This window comes from Homo sapiens, chromosome 11, assembly GCF_000001405.40.
Source record: "Homo sapiens chromosome 11, GRCh38.p14 Primary Assembly".
Taxonomy (NCBI): domain Eukaryota; kingdom Metazoa; phylum Chordata; class Mammalia; order Primates; family Hominidae; genus Homo; species Homo sapiens.
Window position 1 is genome coordinate 114,018,388 of NC_000011.10, and position 21,442 is coordinate 114,039,829.

General features: G+C 48.4%; 1 long non-coding RNA gene across 1 annotated transcript, besides 2 other annotated features; it reads left to right on the plus strand.

The window, feature by feature from the left end:
• The first annotated feature begins 16,882 nt into the window (after positions 1-16,882).
• On the plus strand, positions 16,883-18,797 carry LOC124902761 (uncharacterized). The gene is made up of 2 exons (XR_007062896.1): positions 16,883-16,990; positions 18,275-18,797. It is a non-coding gene; the product is annotated as an uncharacterized LOC124902761 (long non-coding RNA).
• Positions 17,736-18,676: an enhancer, noted in NCBI's record as "H3K4me1 hESC enhancer chr11:113906845-113907785 (GRCh37/hg19 assembly coordinates)". NCBI's record gives its function as "activates a minimal SCP1, AML or CMV promoter by ChIP-STARR-seq in naive H9 embryonic stem cells {active_cell/tissue: H9 hESC(naive)}" and the evidence as "EXISTENCE:reporter gene assay evidence [ECO:0000049][PMID:30033119]".
• Positions 17,889-17,938: a silencer, noted in NCBI's record as "silent region_3914". NCBI's record gives its function as "represses an Ori minimal core promoter by ATAC-STARR-seq in GM12878 lymphoblastoid cells {active_cell/tissue: GM12878}" and the evidence as "EXISTENCE:reporter gene assay evidence [ECO:0000049][PMID:35858748]".
• Positions 18,798-21,442: the final 2,645 nt, after the last annotated feature.

A 21,442-nucleotide genomic window follows, 5' to 3' on the forward strand; every position in this document is an offset into this window, starting at 1 on the left:
AGTGGCTCATGCCTGTAATCCAGCACTTTGGGAGACCGAGGCGGGCAGATCACTTGAGGTCAGGAGTTTGAGACCAGCCTGGCCAAAATGGTGAAACTCCGTCTCTACTAAAGACACAAAAATTAGCCAGGCGTGGTGGCAGGTGCCTATAGTCCCAGCTACTTGGGAGTCTGAGACAGGAGAATCACTTGAATCTGGGAGGTGGAGGTTGCAGTGAGGCAAGATCGCGCCACTGCACTCCAGCCTGGGCACCAGAGCGCTCCGTCTCGAATGTTTGCTGTATTTATTAGCTTTTTGTTTTTATTTTATTTATTTATTTTTTGAGATGGAGTCTTACTCTGTGGCCCAGGCTGGAGTGCAATGGCACTATCTTGGCTCACTGCGATCTCCACCTCCTGGATTCAAGTGATTCTCCCATGTCAGCTTCCCAAGGAGCTGGGATTACAAGCGGGCACTACCACACCTGGCTAATTTTTTGTATTTTTAGTAGAGATGGGGTTTCACCATGTTGGCCAGGCTGGTCTTGAACTCCTGACCTCAAGTGATCTGCCCACCTTGGCCTCCCAAAGTGCTGGGATTACAGATGTGAGCCACCGCACCCAGGCTTTATTAGCTTTTTAAAATGTGTAATTTGCTGACTTCGTTTTTCATTCTAAATAAATATTCACATTGTCCCTAATTGTATATTCATATTTGTATTATTCTTCTTGAAGAGGGCCCTTCATAAGCTTCATGCCCACAACACCTTGGAGAGATTCAGGCTTCCAGAAAACCTAATGTGACCCTCATTTACTCCGAAGCTCTCACTTGCACTGTCCTGGGAAAGGGTGTTGGCTTCTCTGCCATGCGTCCCAAATCAACTGGCTTCCTTCCCAGTCTGTAAATAAGAAGCCTTGCTTGATTGACCCAAGTGGGGCCTGCACCTGATCTTTCTCTCAATCCTAAACTAATGTGGTCATATAGGACTTCAACATCTGAATTTGAGGGGCACACAATTCAGCATGTCACATAAGTATCATCTCCATTTTATATGTGAGCAAACGGAGACCCAAAGGGGTTCAGTAACCTACCCCCCTACCCCCCCAGTCAGGTAGTTGGCTGAGGAACTCTGTCTTCTGATTCCAAGTCCTGGTGTTTTCTGCTACATTCCAGTCTCGAGGGTCACAGCCCTGTCCTCTGATTCTTTCCAAGAGCTCTCTGTCCTCACTGTCATCTTCCTGCCATTTCGTTTCCTGCAAAGCAATATATCTCTAGATGCTATGTGAACCCTGGTAACCGTGTAACTGGAGGATACATATTGGAGGCCGCATAATTGGAGGGCATGGGGCTGGGAATTCCTAAGCCAGCCCTGGCAGCTGCAGTAGCAGGCAGGGGGGCGCTGAGCTGCAACAGAGAGGAGAGGTTAGGGGCGCACACCCTGCAGCCAAACCAGCCAGGTTCACATCTTGCTCACTCACCTCCCACTGTGTGGCCAAGGCCAAGTTACTCAGCCCCTAAGTGTTTCAGTTTTCCCATCTATAAAATGGAGATAATAACTGTACCCAGTCTGTTTATTATTTATTGAGATGATTAAATGAAGAAATATGTGAACAGTGCCTAGCACTTAGATGTCCTGAATGAATGAGAGCAATAATAATAATAATTAATTAATAATTATTATTGGCTGGGCATGGTGGCTCACACCTGTAATCCCAGCACTTTGGGAGGCCAAGGCGGGAGGATCACTTGAGGTCAGGAGTTCGAGACCAGCCCGCCCAACATGGTGAAACCCCATCTCTACTAAAAATACAAAATTAGCTGAGTGTGGTGGTGAGTGCCTGTAATCCCAGCTACCCAGGAAACTGAGGCATGAGAACAGCTTGAACCTGGGAGGCGGAGGTTGCAGTGAACCCAGGTCGCACCACTGCACTCCAGCCTAGGTGACAGAGTGAGACTCCATCTCAAAAAAAAATTATTATTAGCAATAATGATTATTGCTATCATTCTCTCTAGGGATAGAGTTTCCTTAGTTCCACGTTTTCCCCATTGGGTTGAATTAAATCACTCTGAGGCAGTGGTCTTGGTTTCCTATTGAAAACTTATAGCAGGGAAAGAAAGTCAAAGACAGACAGATGTCTGGACTACACCCAGATCTCAGGGAAAGAAGATACTTGCTTTCACCTTTGAACAACAAGGTTCAAGGAGACGCAAGGTCCTTGGGGTTTCGGGCTGGCAGGGCCTCCGAGGCCATCCTCCTGCCTCTGGGCAGCTGTTTTGGAGAGGCTCTGCTAGTAGGAGGCCCTAAAGAGCCAGGTGACGGCGGGTGGCTGCCAAGAAGCTTTACGGTGTGGCATGATAGCTCCTCTCTTTCAGGACCCACAAAGGTCAAAGTCAGTCCCCACCTGCAGGGATAGAGAGATGTGTGCGGGGAGCATCTGGGTTTCCCAGCCTCCTGGGTCCCACTAACCGGGAGGCACGAACCTCGAACCCATCAAGCACAGGGTTTGACATAAACTCCAGTGCTGAGCCCCAAGGGGCTGCTCTGTACAGAGTCCGCAGTGAGCCAAAAATGGAGAGAAATACAACATCGTGCAGCTCATTCCTGGAGCTTGCCTGCCTCCACCTTCCCCATTCCCACAACCAATGGAGTAGCTTGGCTAACAATTAAATACAGTAGCAATTTAAAACTGCCCTGAGGTGGGAGCCCCCATGGGTTGAACAGGCTGCTGTTTACTCTGGCAAGGCTCAGCTCCTCAGCCTGCCCTGATGCTGGCACTGAAAACTCCCCCATAAAACACCCTGTTAAAGAAGCTCTAGGGCCCAGCGAGCCAGGCTTGTGACTGGGGCCTCTGTCCTCAGATCTTCTCCCCTGGTTCTGGAACCCAGCATACTCGGTGCTTGCTTTACCCCATGTCCCAGGGGCCCTGTAGATTTACAGGGGACCCCAGACCATCTGTAGGACCTCCAGACTTCCAGGTGGACAGATTTCAGAGCATTGACAGAGATCCTACCCAGGCACTCTGCAGAGGGAAGCCAGCTGTGGTGGAGGGGAAGGAACACTAGACTGGGGGCCAGAAGCCTCCAATTTCCATCCTGGGCCTTTCACTTACCAGCCATGACCACTGAAGTCAGTGGCTTCAATGTCTGGTCCCTGAGCAGCAGCATCTGCATCACTTGGGAACTTGCTGAAATGCCGGTTATCCACCCCTGACCTACTGAGTCAGAAACTCAAACTGGAGCCCTGCACACTGTGTTTTAACCAGCCCTTAGGGCGAATCTAGTGCACACTCAAGTTGCAGAGCACCCTGCGGTCATTTTCCTTGTCTGAGACTTACTTTCATTCATCTGGTAAATGGGAAGAAAAAGTCTGTTTGCAGGGTTGTTGCGTTAAATAGGGAGACAGCATGAAGTTCTTGGCACCACATCTTGTCACACAAGGGGCTCTGCAGTGTTGGCTGTAGTGGAGGGTTGAGGATCCAGGGTGCACCCGGCACCTCAGCCCTTACTCTCTTTCTGTGGAGGAGGGAGACCTCTCATGTGGCTCAGGCTTTGAGGGATTCTAAAGCCAGACTCCATCTCAGCAAGGACCAGAGACACTGAGTAAGCAGGTGCCTCCAAAGGTCTTACTAAGCCACAGGTAGGAAGGAAAAAGAAAGAAATCAAAACAAAACCAGGTAAGAGATCAGAAGAAGACAGGAGAAGGTGGCCAGGTGCAGTGGCTCATGCCTGTAATCCCAGCACTTTGGGAGGCCAAGGCAGGTGGATTGCTTGAGGTCAGGAGTTCGAGACCAGCCTGGCCAACATGGCAAAACTCTGTCTCTACTAAACATACAAAACTTAGCTGGGCATGGCGGTGTGCGCCTGGAATCCCAGCTACTCATGAGGCTGAGGCAGGGGAATTGCTTGAACCTGGGAAGTTTAGTGGGGGTTGCAGTACACTCCAGCCTGGGCGACAGAGACTCTGTCTAAAAAAAAAAAAAAATAGAAGACAGAAGGCGAGAGTGAGAAGACGAAGTTGTGACTGGTAAACCTAAAATGGCCATAGACAATTATTTAGTTGACTTTGGTGCCAATGGTCATCTACTTGTGGAAATCCCTGTGGCTGTGGACTTGTAACCAGGTAGAAAGGCTTCTTGTCCATGTTGCTGCTTCCAGACAGCACAGTATCTAACTCAGCCTGCCACAGCCTCCTCATCTTGCCTGCCCTTTTGTTGAAACACCCTTGTTCCTCATCTGTGCCATCAACAAGTGTTGATTAGGCACCTACTGTGTGCAGAGTGCCAGCAATAATAAAACACACTCACTTCCCTCTAAAGCAGAGGGGTCCAATATTTGGCTTCCCTGATTACACTGGAAGAAGAAGAATTATCTTGGGCCACACCTAAAATACACTAACGCTAATGATAGCTGACAAGCTAAAAACAAAAAAAAATCCTCCCAAAATCTCATAATGTTTTAAGAAAGTTTACGAATTTGTGTCAGGCTGCGTTCAAAGCTGTCCTGGGCCACATGCGGCCCATAGGCTGTGGATCGGGCAAGCTTGCTCTAAAGTATTACAGGCTGGTAGCCCGGGAGGAAAAGTGTGTTCTGGCACCAAAGACAACCCATGTCTCTCACCTGGAGATGCACTGGTAACTGAATGACTGTGGGGCATGGGCGTGGCCCTGGGGGATCTTTAGACTTTTGTGAGAAAGAGAGGAGGAGAGAGGTGGGTAGCCACATGCACATGGGTGGGCTGCAGACCCCCAAATCTCCTGGAAGACACGGACAAGACAGGTGACATGGCTGCTAATTTTATGCTTCAGCACCTGGCTCTCCCCAGTCATTAGGGGACAACTACATCCCACGGGCAATGGGAACCCAGAAACCTAGAACCCCAAGGCAGGCTTGGGCCTCAGATCTTCACCTCAAGCGTCCATCCTTCTGCCTCGGGGCAGGACTGCTCTCGAACAACCCCTAAGTCTGCTCTCTTCGCTAATGTTCTTCAGAACCTTCTCAGTTTGAGTGCTTCTAACTACATAAAAAACCATTAAAGTAGCTACTATTTATTATCTACCTCATGCCAGGCACTGTGCTATGCATGCTGCTTAGCACACCTATTATCTGTTCAATCCTCATCATAGCAAGGAAGGAGCAAGCTATTCATCTTTGTGTTTACAAGTGAGAAAAACTGAGGCTGATGGAGGGCGAGCAACTTACCCGTGGGCACACGAGAAGGAGCAGGTCCAGAATATCAGCTTGGTTCTGATTTCAAAGGTCTTTCCACAATAAGCTACTAAGGATTCTCCTATATTCACCACTTGTTCATTTGTTCAGTTAACATATATTTTACTTTTATTTATTTATTTATTTATTTATTTATTTTTTATTTTTGAGGTGGAGTCTCACTCTGTCACCTGGCTGGAGTGCAGTGGCGCAATCTCGGCTCACTGCAACCTCTACCTCCTGGATTCAAGCGGTTCTCCTGCCTCAGCCTCCCGAGGAGCTGGGATTACGGGTGCCTGCCACCACGCCTGGCTAATTTTTGTATTTTTAGTAGAGACAGGGTTTCACCATGTTGGCCAGGGCTGGTCTCGAACTCCTGACCTCAAGTGATCCTCCCACCTCGGCCTCCCAAAGTGCTGGGATTACACGCGTGAGCCACTGCATCCGGCCTCAGTTAGCATATATTTTTGAGCACCTACTATGTGCCAGGCATTGTGCTGGGCACTATAGCTGAACTGAGTTCCTTCTGCTTCAGTATAAGCTAGCTATTTCTTATCCTTCTTATTAGGGAAAAAGATAAAAGTGGACTAATGAGTGATTTCCTCCATTATTTAGGGAGTTGAGTCAAATAAGGTAACACGAAAAACCTGAAAAAATGGTTTTGGGTCCTTGATTCTTTCTGTCTGTTGCTCCCGTGCATCTCTCCACCAGTTGGGAGAAAGATCAGCGTTATCTCTGAATGTATGGGAGAGCCAGGGGAAGGTCTTCAAGGGCTGGGACAAGCAAGTATCCTGCAGGGCCCACTCCTGGTGCCTGGAGGTATGTGAGATGTAACTTTATCCAAGTTTATCTAGATATCCCTCAACTAAGGGGTGTCCTCAGTCCCTTCCCTTCCCCCATTCTACACACACACACACACACACACACACACACACACACACGCATCTGTTCTGATATGGTCTAGGAGCTCCATCAAGGGCAATCTCGATTGACCCAGAATCATGGGTCCTTTGGTGCTGGGGACACGTCACAGGTTTGCCCTGCTATCTGCTGCTGGGGAAAGTTTTGCATTACCTTTCCTCTGACACTACCACTTAAGGGCTGCTGTTGGTCATCAAGAAACCCCAGGGGCTGCTGAATAACTAGGGGTAAAAATAAGGAAGTCAAGAGGGGACAAAATGGCAGATGTGTTTCTCTTAATGCCACAAAGACCTGCAGAACTGGGACTTGTTAAAGAAGACTCTGAGTGTGTCATTGTTATGGAAGCAGGCTGGCTTGGCCATGGACTGTCTTACAGGCTTTTGGAGTTGGCCTGGGAAGAGGGCATGGTGGGCCTTGGTTAGACTGCCATTTCCACACTTGCTGTCTGCTGAGGATGGCTCCTCTCTATGCTGGATGGACCCAGGAGGGGACAAATCAATGAACTTTCTGGTGATTGACAGTTCACCCCTCCCTAGGCTGCCTGGTTCCTAAATTAAGGGGACAAGATTGCTCAGGATCCCACTGATGGGTTAAAAGTCTTCCTTCCCTTCCTGTAGAACAGTGATCAACTTCCCCCTAGGCTCTTAAAAATTATAAAATTCAAAGGGAGGCAGTGGAGATCCTGGCGGCCATGACTGTGCTGTAAGAAAGGCATTTAAGGGGAAAGGCTCAGTAAAGGGCTTTAATAAAGGAACCTCTCTCTGGAGAACGAAGCTCAGCTGATGAACTGAACAGAAGATGCTCTTGGCATTAGGCCTTTTGGAAATGTCTGTTGCTGTAAGCCCCAGATCCTGGATTCTATGGAAGCTTAGAAAAGACAAAGAACTGTGGGTTGGTTGTATGTGGACACTCATTGCAATGCCTTTGCTTCTGTGCCTAGAGCGCTTGACTCCATTTATTTATTAAATAGCCATGTATGAGGCACCTAATATATGGCACGTGCTAAACAGCTAGCCTGTTCCCTCAGGCTCTGATGTGTCAACTCTGTAAACTTTCTCCCAGGAGGAGGGACTTGGGAACTTGTGTCTAACTTCGTTCTCCCTGTCTGGCTCTCTGTATTTATGTTTCTCACTCTCCACATCTCACTACAAAACTGGTGAGATCTGAATAAAGTCTGTGCTTGAGTAATGGCATTGTGCCAATGTTAATGTCCTGGTTTTGATAACTGTGTTATGGTTATGTAAGATGCCAACTTCAGGGCAAGCTGGGTGAACAGTATGTGGGAATTCTCTGTACTATTTTTTCAATGTTTCTGTAAGTCTAAAATTAGTTCCAAATAAGTTAAAAGTCTCCCTAAGAGTCTTGTCAACTCTCCTTTTCCATCTCTCTCTTGGTGTTGTCATTCCATCTGTCTTTCTATCATCCTTTTAGTCTCTCTTTGCCCTTTCTCTCTGCCTATCTCCCTTTCTCAGTTTCTGTCTCTGTCCTTCATCTCTCCTTCCCACAAAAATCTGCTCTCCTCCCACGTGAACATCTAATCAGTCAACAAATTTCTGTTGATTAAACTTCCTGAATAGCCGTCAGCTCTTCCCTTCTTTCTAGTCCCACTTCTAAGGCTCCTGGATCATAGCATTACTGCCTATACTTACAGTCACCCAGATACGTCCAAGAGCCCCTCATTGGACTTCCCACCTCTTGTATGGGCTCAGCTAGTTCATTCTCTACCCTCCTGCAGTTCCAATTAGGTCTCTTCCACAATTAACACCATCACTGGCTCTGTGTTGCCTACTGAAAAGTGCCCAACCAAGCTTCATCATAATCAGGTCCCTATTTCCCCAGCGTCCACTCTCTCCACCAGTGGCATAACTAGCTCAAATGAGTCCCAAAGCAAAGCCCAACAGGGAGTGGATTCTGTTCTGCAAGAACAGTGCTTCTTTCTCCTGAAGGCAAGAAGGTGGGTTTGCATATAGAAAAGTGGGCTGGGTATGGAGGAAACCAGAGGAAAGCCTAGAGGGAGCAGAGAGGGGATTTTATTTCAGTACCTGCAGGGGGAGCCTACCAAAGAGAAGGAAGGAATCCTGTAGGCCACTGTGGTCATGTGGTCTTTGCGGTCTGGTTGCTGCTGTGCAGAGACTACAAGTGATGCTAAAGCAGCCTGTGTCTTCCAGGTGGATAGGAAAATAGTCTGGGGTCACAGCAGAAAGTGTGGCCTCATCCAGCCACACCAACACCTTGTCCCTTTCAGCTGCCAGCTTTCAGCAATGCCGCCTCTAGCCCTGTCATTGAAATGAGCTCACTGCATATGCTTTAAAAGCTCACAGTTCCTGTGCAATGCAGAGGTTGCATATTCCTAGTTTCATAACTGCCTACCCCCTCCTCAGTCTTTTATGTTTCAACAACACCCAACACCTCACAATGTAGTAGCCACTGGGGGCAAGTATTGATAGATTTGTACACATGAATTCAATGAATATTTAAAGGCTACCTCCAGGGTGGGTAGGAGTCAGTTTGTATAGATTCCCGGGCACCTACAGCAAAGTAGATTCCAGCAGCTTTGAAGACAGTCAATCTACAAAGGGACACAGGTGCTGGCTACTGGGAATGAGCACACGCCGGGAGTCCGTGCACATGAAAATGGCAAAGGGATCTGAGGGGATATTGACAGAGCAGGACCAAATCTGCTATAAAAAGGAGGTGTTTCAATTCTAGAGAAGGAGGTCCAGAGAAGACCTCCTTGAGAAGATGACATTTGAATAAGAACCTGCAGGAAGTATGAGCCAGCTATGCAGGTACTCCTAATTTCCATTGCAGTGCCTGGCATGTAGCATCTACTCCATGTTGTTTGTTAAATAGCTGAATGAATGGATGAACAACGAACGATGTTTCATGTTTGCTTTCACTGGCATGAGAAGGATTCCAGGCTCCTGGTCCCTACCTTGAGATCGGATGCTGGAGCAGGTGACTTGTACCAGCCAGGAGGTCCAGCTGCAGGCCTCTTGCATCATCTCTCCTGCTGACCTCGCAGAGCCGGGAGAGAAATTTGCATTCCAAGTCCCACAGCATCCTGGTGAAGAAAACACTCCAAGTGTTGGAGAGTTGCAAACTTGCTGGGTGCGTGTGGGCTGCCTCAGGAGCAACAAATGAGCCTGTGCAGATGGTGCTGAGATAAACGGCGCCATCTTTTTACTGTAGCAGTACAGTCGTAATTTTCCAGAGACATTTATTAGGTGGCGTCTCCCTTCTGCGGGACTGTGCTGTGGCTGGCGTGTAGAGCTGTTGCAAGCAAGGTGGAGCACGGAACCCAGTGCTAATGGCGTGATGGGCACCCAAATCTCTCCCATTCCTTTCCTCTCATTCTCGAGTCTGACAATTTATAGGTTAGTTTGATGCTTGAAAAGCTGTGTCTCTCTAGTAATATGTATTCTTTGTAAGTATGCCCTGCTGTGGCATATACTGAAAGAACTCCATCGGATAATTATCTTCCCTTTTATTTATTCTCCTTCTTTTCACTTGATCTGCATCACTATAAAATATTCCAGTGGTCTCCTCTGAGTAGAAAGTCTTCTTCGTGATTGTAAAGTGTATTTATATACAGTATTAAATGCACACTAGGTGGCTCTTCATCACAGCACTTGCCTGATGAGACAGAGCTCTGTCCGTGGTGGGGTTGACGAGGTCCCACTATTTCCAGTTGGGAGAGGGAAAGCTGGGGTTTTTGAGGCCACTGGCTTGGCCACAGGCCCCAGTGGTATGGAGAGACCATCTCAGGAGCCTATGTTTAGCTTTAACTTCCCCTCAACACACCTTGACTTGGAGAAAGCAGCCATTCCCCCACTGCCTCTGGGATCTTTGCCCAGAATCCCCAGGGAGCCTCCTTTGCCATGGGAGTCTTGGTCCAACTTGGTCCAACTCCCCACTCTTCTCAGAATCTAGAGAAAGTGAGAGCTCACTAGTAGACCACAGCATCTGTGTCTGGGTCCTGGTGACTTGCTTGCTTTAGTGTCCTCCAGCCCTTTCATGTGCACATTGCTTCTCTAACTAGACAGAAAGCTCCCTGTGGACAGGCACAAGATCATCCACCTCTCTTGATTTCCCCAAAGCCTTAAGCACAGAGTTGGGTGATCAACTTACGATGAGCAGTAAATAGGTATTGCCTTGAGTCCCTTTCTAGGAAGCACTGGCGGATTAGGTCCTTCATTCCATGTCCTTGATGCTCATATTAACTTGCATATTTAATACACGGCTTTGTCAAATATTTAAAAGTCTCTTCAACCAGATGACAAGCCCCTGTAGCATCTTACAATCTCAGAACTGGAAGCCTCTTCAGGGGTCCCACTGTCCTCCTTACATCCAGTGTATGACTATGAATCCTGGAATTTCTTTTGCTCTTTTTTTTATTCTCTCAATGCCCAGATTATATAACTGGAATAAAAAAGATGCAAAAAATAATCTAGAAAGAAAACGTACTTAGAGTCAAGACACCTGGGTTCTAGTCAATTCCTTCACAGAGTCACAGAACCTTTCTGGCCTTTATTTTCCTCATCCATAAAATATGGAAATACTTATAATCTTACAAAAGCTAAAGATCTAAAGGTCTTTTGGCTCAACCTTCTGCTCCCAGATGGGTATCTGTGTAACCTGGAAAGGCTGCCAGAGGGGGGATCTCAACAACTTTACTTAACAACTTTACCTGTGTTCTTACCTAGGGTTTAACCACCCTGGAGTTAAGAATGTCATCCTTTTGCCTCTATGTCTTGCTTGTAGTTCAGGCAGAATCTCTGTGTTCCTCAATTGCTTACCAGGGAGAGTGTAGGTATTTCTCCTTCCACCATCTGGAGCTGAGAAGGGGAAGTTTAGAGTGAGGGCTGGGTGTGGACCTTCCAGGGGAAATAGTTCTCCATCCAGCTTTGCATCAGGAACACCTGTGGAGCTTTCAACACCTGCACAGGCCAGGGGCACATCTTGGATCCGTTGGATTGGAGCCTCTGGGGATTGGGTCCCTGCGTCTGTGTTTTTCAAGACTGCCCCCAGTTGATTCTGAAGCTCCAGCAGAGTTCAAGGGCCATGTGGGGATCCTATGGCCCTTCTCCCTCACCCTCTACCTCTGTAGGTAGGAATTGGGAATACCTTTGGGGTCTCAGCTTCTATCACTGGGTTTGGTGGTAGGAATTATAAACAAGGCAGATAATAGACTCCACTTCAGGACCACTAGACTCCACTTCAGGACCACAGCAGCAGCTGAGTACCACAGCCTTGGGACAAACCAAGGGCAGCAGAGAAAGTCGAAAACCCAGAATGGGGCTGAAAAGGACCATGGTGATCCTGTATCCTGGCAGCACTGCCTGGAGAAGCCGTCACCCACACCAGCTGCCTGGCAAGTTGGGTTGATGCAGTGCTTCCTCTCCTGGTCACCTGTGGAGTATACTTTTCTGATGTCCATCTCACTCAGGTTCCCAAGTGCATACAGGCTAGCTGCTAAGATCAGGTAGGTTCCCTGCCTTCTAGAAGCTTAACATCTATAGCAATGCCCCATCCTTCATCCTACTCCCAAGCCTCAGCCTCTGCCTTATGTAGAGAACTTCTCAATGCCAAAGCTCCTGAGGCCTCTCTCCTATAAACCCTACTGTTGAGTTTCCATAGCCTACCCAAGATCCCTGCCTTCCAGATGAGGCTGAATGTGCCTTAGACCACAGTAGGAAAAGGGTCTTTGTCCTAGCTCTTGAGGAAGGAGGGACATGGCCACTCATGGTCATCCCTTGCAGGGTTTCACATTTTGGGCCAGACCCCTCTTCTACACCTGCCTCTGGGTCTTACCTGGTCTCAAGACCTTCCTAACTCTCCTCTGTACATTTTTGGCCTTCTTGGCTTCTCTGACCCAAGCTTCTCCCATTGTCTTCTTGACTTATGCAGATATTCCTTATTTCCAATCTCCTCTCCCACGTCTCAGCCTGCCCCCTTGGCCTCTCTCTGAATGCGGGAAAGTTTAGCACAGGGAGTGCCAAGTGGGGTTTCCCATCTCTTTCGGAGTACTCTTCTGGAAAGGAAATTTCTGAGCTCTCCAAACCACAGCCTGGGGCATTGCCATGGGAGGTGGCCTGATGGATGAGAGGTGCCCTGGCACGGGCATCTTCTAGGGAGATCCAGGGTCTTGAAGCATTCTCTCTTGTCACACCTGGCTTGACCTGTTCCCAGGAAGTTCCCTTTCTACAGCCAACCATTCTCCTCTATCTTATCCAAGGCTGGAGGGCCAGTTACAAGCTCCGAAAATGAGCTGGGAAGAAATGCCTTTCCCCCTGGCATTGTGGTGTGCTCTTCTCACCCAGGGAACCTTCCAGGCACCACTGAAAGTTCAGCAGCAGCTGTTCGGCATTTACATTTTACACAGTGCAAGGTTATTTGACTGCCAGGATTCGATCCTCTCTAGTTAATAACCTTGACTTATGGAATAATAGCAGCAATGGCTCAGTTTCTTTTCCTGCCAGGGATTCCTGCTGCTGGGAGTGGTGGGTGAGCATAGACCCCGCTCTCCAAGACCTTCTGTCTTCTTGTCCTTCAATGAAGGAGACCCTGTAGGACTGGAGAAGTATGCTCAGGTCTGCTACGAGCATCTCCCGTACGTCCTCTCTTTGCTTAACAAGCCTCCTTAGAACTAACTGGTCCCCTCCTTTGGGCACACCTTTCCTGACTCTTGTCCTCCTTAGTCTGCAGCAAAGTAGAATGGGCTACAATCTTGATCCTTCTCCTCTCTGGGAGTACTTCCTGGCAAGGGTTAACTGTGTGTATAAAATTGATTGCGATTTTAGTAATTCGGTATAATCACAGTCTACCAGCAGGTTGCTTTTCCAGCAGGAGGGTTTGGAATTATTTTCTGGAGTTTGCAATATAGAACTTAAATTAAGCCTCGGAAGTCAGGGGAGCTCCGCAGCATCCCTAATGCGGTGCTAAATTCTCAGCAGCACAGTCTCCGTGTTAAAGCCTTCGCTGGCAATTAGGTTCATTAACTATCACAATACCTTATTTATTACTCATCGTGCCATATGGTTTCCCAGCTAAAGAATGGCGCCCGTTCTCCTACAGACCATTTGGCATCATAAAAATGTTAACAAATAATATTATGGCTCTCGGGGGCACAAGGCCTCGCTGGGTTCTGGGTCTGAGCGGCGGGAGAGAATATGAAAACATTTTTCTTCTATGGCGAAGTAAAAAATTCCTCAAGACAGAAGTATTCAAAGAATAGAGCACTTGCATAACATAAATGGGAGTTTTATTTACCCTCATAATGGTTATGTCAATATTTGCATCAGCTGGGACTGTCACTCATCTTCCTCCCCGCTCTCTTTTGGGGTTGTTTTCACTTTCATCTTTCCCCTCTTACTTCTTTATTTCTGTGGCATGAGGTCAATCTCAGCCCACACCACCCCAAGGCCTGGGGGTTTGCTGCTGATGGGGTGATGGATGCGCTCGGGATTCTCCCAATTCATCTGCTCCTGGGGTCCATCATAGCCCAGCCCCCTGGCCCTGGCAGCCTGCTGGGTTCTAATCCCTCCTCAGGGCTTTGTCTCCCTGTTCTGCCTTCTTCAGCCGGTGTTTTCAGTAGAAACTGGAAATGGATGCATGTGCCAATGTTGCCCTGTGTTGAGCAACGCATTCTGCTGCCCAGGCCTTGCCAGTCCTCCCACTGTGGAGGGTGGGGCCGGGGTGGTCAGAGCAGGAAGAGGAGACTTCAGGAGGGGTGGAGAGATGCACCTCCTAGGGCCAATCCGACAAAGCCATCTCAAGAGGACGAAGCATCTCCCTGTCCTTTATCCCCTGGATGTAGAAGTGCAAGGCATTTGCCTTGGGGCTACAAGCAAAGAACTACAGCAGGAACTCGGGGGGCTCTTTAGTAAGCAGGTCCTCCAGCTGTGAGGGGCTCCCCTCATCTCCCAGCTGCAGCGTCCTCTGAATGAAGGGTGTGCCTGGGCAGTATTCCCATGCAGGTTCCAGAGAGTACCTTGTACTTTACCTTTTCTCAAATGACTCCTTGGACCTGGATGGCAACTGTCTTTGGAAAGCCATCAAATGTAATGGTTAAAATGATAAACCCTAGAGTCTCTCATTTCAAATCCTAGTTTCACCATTTACTTATCTGTGTAACCTTTTTATGGCTCAGTGTCTTCATCTGTAAAACGAGGATAAAAATAGTACCTTGCCATAGGGTCATTCCTACAACTAAATGAGTTGGTCTCTTTAAGGGCCTAGGACAGTAGCTGGCACAAGGCAAGTGCTACACAGGGGAGAGCTGGGATTGGGGAAGGCTCTACTGAGCCATCTCTTTCTTTTCTTTTCTTTTTTCCTTTTTTTTTGAGACAGAGTCTTGCTCTGTCACCAGGTTGGAGTGCAGTGGTGCGATCTTGGCTCACTGCAACCTCCGCCTCACTGGTTCAAGCGATTCTCCTGGCTCAGACTCCCAAGTAGCTGGGACTACAGGTGTGAGCCACCATGCTCTGCTAATTTTTGTATTTTTAGTAGAGACGGGGTTTCACCATGTTGGCCAGGCTGGTCTCGAACTCCTGACCTCGTGATCCACTTGCCTCGGTCTCCCAAAGTTCTGGGATTACAGGTGTGAGCCACCGTGCCTAGCCTGAACCATCTCTTACTTTTGCTCTGATGTTTCCTTTTATCCCTTTGAGGCATTTGGGAGGGTGGACTGCTCCCAATTCCACAATCATACTGCATCATCCCACATCCTGATTCTGACCCTGAGGTCAAGCCATGTGGGCAGGGGCAGCGCCAGGGTGACATTTCCCTCATTTCCACATCATTTCCTCCACTGGACCATGTGTCGTTTGGGGCTTACAACTACATGACTTCCCCCGCACACACTACCCCTACCCTCAAACCATGGCAGCCAAGGCTGCTAAGGACCTGAATGGAATCAGAGACTCAGAATGTCAGGCTGGATGAAACCTTAGAGATGACCAGAGAAGGCAGTGATGAGGCCACCATTATACAGCAGGGAGAGGGCAGAGGCCAGTCCCTAGAATACATTCCCATCCTCCAGCTCCACTCAGCAGACCAGTGAGGAAGGGAACTGAGTGCAGCAGAGGAGAACTTGAAATTAAATTCCATTAAGTGCCAATCACATGCAAAGCACAGAAGGGATCAGGCCTCATTGCTGGAATCAGTGGATGAGGCTTTGAGATGAGCTGACTCTAGCATAGCAATGCAGGGAGAGCTGCCCCTCATGCCCAACCTGCTGAACCTGAGTCCTTCAGGTTACTCTGGGTGAGAACAGTGTCAAAGGAAAGCCTGTTCCCATTTTCATGAGCCTGCTTCATCATTTGAGGTGAGAGTCATACAGATTGCCCTACCCAGTTGGCCCAGCAGGTTCCTCCGGAAGCTTTCCTCTGTCCGTAGGCACCTGGCTTCCTTTCTGGCTAGTTTTCTCCTACTAGTTGCAGCTGACCAGTTTGTTTCCCCTGGATTCTTCTAGGAGGGAGGGTGCAGGGCCTGGGGTTATGCAGTGATAATATGCAAAGATGTGTGTGTGTGTGTGTGTGTGTGTGTGTGTGGTGTGTGTGTGTTCCTACATGCACAGATACAAGCAAATACTATACCTAAGTATGTGCATAGTTCAGTGATATATTCTTTTTTTCTTTCAGTACATGTAATCAGATTCCCAGAGGTCACGTTCCTGATCTATCACCCAAGAACTGTGTGTCTTTGGGCATGTTTCCTGATACCTCTCTGCCTCATCTTTCCCCATTTGTAAATGGGAGTCATCAAAGGTTCTACCTCAAAGTACTGCTGTGATGATTAAACACAACCTATTCAAAGCTTAAAACATCATCCTGTAGTGTGCACTGAATAAATACTAGCTATTACTGTACTCATTAATATTATGCATGATCATCTACCATGGGGCAGGTTCTAGTATCTATCTAGCTATCTATGTACATTATATATATATATATACACACACACACACACATATTTCCCTATATTTTCTCATTTAGTCTTTACAGCAATCTGTAAGATAGATATTCCCTTCTCTATTTTGCAGAAGGCAAGGCATGCTCAGAGGGGTCGAGTTACTCATGGAAACACAGGCATTGGAGCCCATATGCCTGGACTCTAAGTCTGGTGCTCACTCCACCATAAGGTGTTGCCTTTCCTCTGCCTCCTGAAAGGACAGGCATGGGGAGTGCAAGTCTCCATTCCCATGGGACCTCCGTGAGGGCTGAGGCACCAAGACAGACTGTCCCACTCCTGAGGGTCACTCTGCCTCTGGATGTTGCCTCTGGCCAGCTCCCGCAGTCTGGGAAGGAGAGGGTCAGGCCAGTCAGGCCCGGGGGACAGGGGTCTCACCAGGACTTTGATCTACAGCCACATGTAGGGGAAGGAAGGGCAGCTTGGGACGGGCAACGCAATCAGGAGTGGATGTACCAAAAGCTGAGACCATAAGAAAGAGAAATGAGGAGAAGCAGAGTATCAGGAGATCATTTTCAGGAACATTAGATAGAGGCCAGAAAGGAGAAGTGGGTAATTTTAATCCCATGCAGCTGCTGGAAATTAATTTAATTGTGCTGGTGCTGGCTCTTCTCCCTTCAAACCCGTTTCATCAGGGCCTGATGGAGTGATGAGACCGAGGAAGACAGCCCGGCCGCGCCAGCCAGCAGCCCTGGGTATGCAGCTCCAGGCCGGACTTCCTCCCGTTCCTATGGCTGCTACCAGAGAAGATGGGAAAACTGGCACTTTTTCAATCTAGACGTTTCTCCTCTTGACAGGGGACTGAAGTGAGACAACAGGAAGAACTTCCCAACAGCAAAGAGTGTGAACTATGCGAATACGTGAAGGCGGCTGCAAACCATCTTCTCTAACTCTTAAGGATAGAGAGACATTGGTAGGACCCTTCGCCTCCTGAGTCTGCACCTAGTGTATGAGTTCCACCTCAGCTCACTCACTCCATGCAGGCACACGGACCCACACCACAGTCAGACATCAGCATCACACACACACACACACACACACACACTGTCAGGCAGGCACGAAGTCCACACTGGTGTCTGACACTGGATGCAGGGACAGACTGGATCAAGGACAGACAGCCATATGCAGACACTGACATTACACCCAGCGCAGACATCCACAGTAGAGGCGAACGAATGCCCACTTTTGCCCAATGGCTCTCTATCAGGCTGCACGTTAGAATTCCCTGGGAGTTTTTTTGTGGGGGTGCGTGGGGGCTTTGAGACAGGGTCTTGCTCTGTCGCCCAGGCTGGAGTGCCGTGGCACGATCATAGCTCACCACAGCCTCCACCATTCAGGCTCAACCCATCCTCCCACCTCAGCCCTCCTAGTAGCTGAGACTGACTACAGGCACGCGCCACCATGCCCGGCTAATTTTTGTATTTTTTGCCAAGACAGGGTTTTGCCATGTTGGCCAGGCTGGTCTCAAACTCCTGGGCTCAAGTGATCCACCCACCTTGGCCTCCCAAAATGCTGAGATTACAGGCGTGAGCCACCGCGCTCAGCCTCCAAGGGAGCTTTAACAACGATATCCACGCTCAGGTCCCACAGTCGGCGCTTCTGACTTAATTCTGAACAAAAGCCTGCAGTGGGGCTTGCACAGTGGTAGTTTTCAAAGCTCCCAGGTGATCCCAATGTGCAAACCAGGGCTGAGAACGCGCCTTGAGAGGTACCTTCCTTCCCACTCTGGCCTAGCGCCCGTTCGGTTCTGCCCGGTGACCACTAGAGGTCAGCAGGGCTTGGAGGACGTGGCCGCGGGTGGCCCAGCAGGGTCCCGCCCGGCGCTGCGCTCTGGCTGCGGCGGGACCGTCAGCCTTCTCCCCTTCTGGCCTCCAGCGGACGGAGGTCAGGCGCTGACTTGGCCCCGGGCTAAGAGGGGACGCCGCAAGGGGGCAGGGGCGGCCTGCTGGCAAAATCAGGCCCGTGAGCCGCAGAAAGTCAACTTCACTTGGAAGGTTTTTAAAAAGCATCCCAGATTGAAGCCTCACAATCCCGCCCCCACCCTTCCGCAGCGGGAGCCTCTCTGCACCAGGATTCTCTGACCTGGTCACTGCCTGGCCCTGTGCGCGGGTGGGCGCGAGCTTCACGCGCACTCACAGCCAGCCCGGCACTCCAGGGCCCCCATAAGTATAAAATAACTATTCTGTCTTTTCCGTAGGAGGAGCCAGCATTTGGATCCCAAGGGTTGTTTATTTTGACTCACTGCTGTTTTTGCTGGAGAAGGGTAAAACAGAAAGTTCCTTTACTTTGGCTAAGATGTGGCACACATAACTGCCCTGAGCCCGAATTTCTGATGAGCAAATAGAAGCGGACCAGTGGTTCAATCTTCCTTCATCATCTTCAAAAAGAATAACACCCAAGGGCACATAGGATTGGCTTCTCTACATTTCAATTTAAGAGAAATGGAAAGAAGACTCATCTACCACTGAAGATACCTGAACTCAAAAATGAAAAATAAGATGGCCTCCCTGATCAGCTCCAGGTTCTTCCTTCCTAGTTCTGGCTCCTGGACACCTCATGACCACATTGCGCATTTGCACTCTTAGTGAGTGCTGCTCATAACAGGGTATTATGATTCCTCTTATAGAGTCCACCTTTCATTCCAAATTGTGAGGCTGCTGGATGGCAGAATAAGTTCTGGGCACATAGTAGGTGCACAATAAACATTTGTTAAACCAAAATGTTTGTTGTCAATCTTGTCTTCAATCTAACTTGTCTAATATGTAAAACCAACCCAGAGAGAAACTTTTCTAGACCCTTCTCTGTTAAGCTCCACACAGGTCCCCATTCTTTTTGGTGTTTTGTTTTGTTTTGTTTTGTTTTGAGACGGAGTTTCGCTCTTGTTGCCCAGGCTGGAGTGCAGTAGCGTGATCTTGGCTCACTGCAACCTCCACCTCCTGGGTTCAAGCAATTCTCCTGCCTCAGCCTCCTGAGTAGCTGGGATTACAGGCGCCTGCCACCACACCTGGCTATCTTTTTTGTATTTTTAGTAGAGACGGGGTTTCACCATCTTGGCTAGGCTGGTCTCGAACTCCTGGCCTCAGGTGATCTCCCCGCCTTGGCCTCCCAAAGTGCTGGGATTACAGGTGTGAGCCACTGTGTCCGGCCACAAGACCCCATTCTTAACTTGCAAATGTTTGGTGAAGTTTGCTAAACCCTACCTACCCTCCCAAGAGACGGTGATTGGGTAGGTTTAGGGTGGGGTTCAGGAACTTGCATTTGTAACAACTGAGAATGGTGATTCTGAAATTATCAAGGGGGAATGCATTCTCTCTCTGCTGCCCCCCATCTCCAGGCTAGGCTCTTTTTATAGCCTTGACTTCAGCTCTGGTCCAGGGAGACAGGCTAGGATGGGGTTTGACACTTCTAAGGGGGCTGCAGTCCTTTTGTCCTCCTAGCAGGATGAGCTGTGAGCCGCTCTCACTGGTTCCGGCGCCAAGGTCATCAGGGCGGCTCTCCCTCTCCACCTGGCCTGGTTCTCTCTCAATGGCTCTTCTGTCTTTTCTCCTAACTCCTAATTTATGCTACGCCTTTCCTTGGTTCTCCTTACCAATCCCAGGAGCTGATGCAGGGCAAACATTCTGGGTCCACACCCCACTATGGGATAATTGTGGGGCTGTTTGAAACTTGACCTGTTGACCAAACTTGGGGCCCTTGTGGATGTGGTTCTGGGTCTTGCCCTGGCCCTTAATGGAGTGAAGAAATGAGGGGCAGCCAGTGGAAAGAGGGCTCTGGGGACCTAGAGTTTAATTTCTGTGTTATCCAGCAACCTGGGCCCGCCTGGCTACCGCCTGGATCTCCATCAAAACCTTCTCCAAAGAGCCACAGATCACGATGATACAGCCCTTTCTCTTTTCTCACAAAGACACTGTCAAAAAGGCTGCCATGCAGCGAGCCATCTCCATGATCCCATCTAGATTAGGGCAAAAGAAAAAAAAAGCTATAATTAAAATAGCTACATAATTGAACACTTACTATGTTCCAGACATTAGACTAGGCACCTTTATATACATTACATTAAAACTATACCAACTTTAGGCTGGGTGCAGTGGCTCACACCTATAATCCCAGCCCTTTGGGAGGCCAAGGAGGGTGGATCACCTGAGGTCAGGAGTTCGAGACCAGTCTGACCAACATAGTGAAACCCCATCTCTACTAAATACACAAAATTAGCCAGGTGTGGTGGCGCATGCCTGTAATCCCAGCTACTTGGGAGGCTGAGGCAGGAGAATTGCTTGAACCCGGGAGGCGGAGGTTGCAGTGAGCTGAGATTGGAGATTGTACCATTGCACTCCAGCCTGGGCAACAGGAGTAAAACTCCATCTAAAAAAAATAAAAACCTCATACCGACTTTGAAAAATACCACACATATGTATTACCAGCTCCATTTTACAGATGAGACCCAGAAAGTTTAAGCAATTTGCCCAGGACAGACAGGCAGTAAGGGGCAGAGATGGGATTTGAACTCACATCTGTCTGGCCAATGCTCAACCTTAAAACAAAATAAAAGGTAAAGCCTCTTATTATTCTGTCCAAGCATTCTAGAACAAAGTGCTTAGGGCCAACAAAGGTCTATGAAACTGCCTGACACCTGACAAATTGCACTGATTCCAAAATGCAAAGAGAAAATGATGAAACTGAAAGGTTTAAAAACATTTATTTAAATGACAACAAAACAACATTGTGACAAAGTAGTTAACACAGCTCACATGTTATGCAGTTTTATAGAAACGATTTTAATGAGGGGCATATGCACATTCTGATAAGCTGATGGTGGCCTCTAAGGGAGATCCTAGGATCTTCCCCTACGATACTCACCACCAAAACCTCCCTCACCCCACCTGGCCCTGTCACCTGCCCAGGTTCCTACAATAGAAATGTGAAGGAATGCAAGGAGGACCAGAATAAATCCAGCTCTGAGCAACCTCCTGACAGCCACTTATTATGTCAATTTTCCTGCCTGCAGAATGGGGATGATATATTTGTCCTACTTAACTCCCAAGATAGGCGTAAGGCTCAAATAAAACCATCTTTTAAAGAGCATCAAGTCCCGTGGTCTATCCGAGACTGGATTGTAAAAAAACAAGGAGAGATAGTTCTGGGATGATAATCTCTCAAAACAGAAGAGATGGCCTCAAATCAAAACAAGAAAACATTTAAATAATTTTTATAAGTGAAAAAAATTCCCAGTCTCTTATGTTACTCTGTTCTATCCCAGATCTCACGGGGTTTCAGATTTCATAAGGATGATTACCAACACTTACAGAGCTCTTCTCATTCCTCATCCCATGCAATCATCCTAACTATCTTGTAAAGTAAGTAGGAC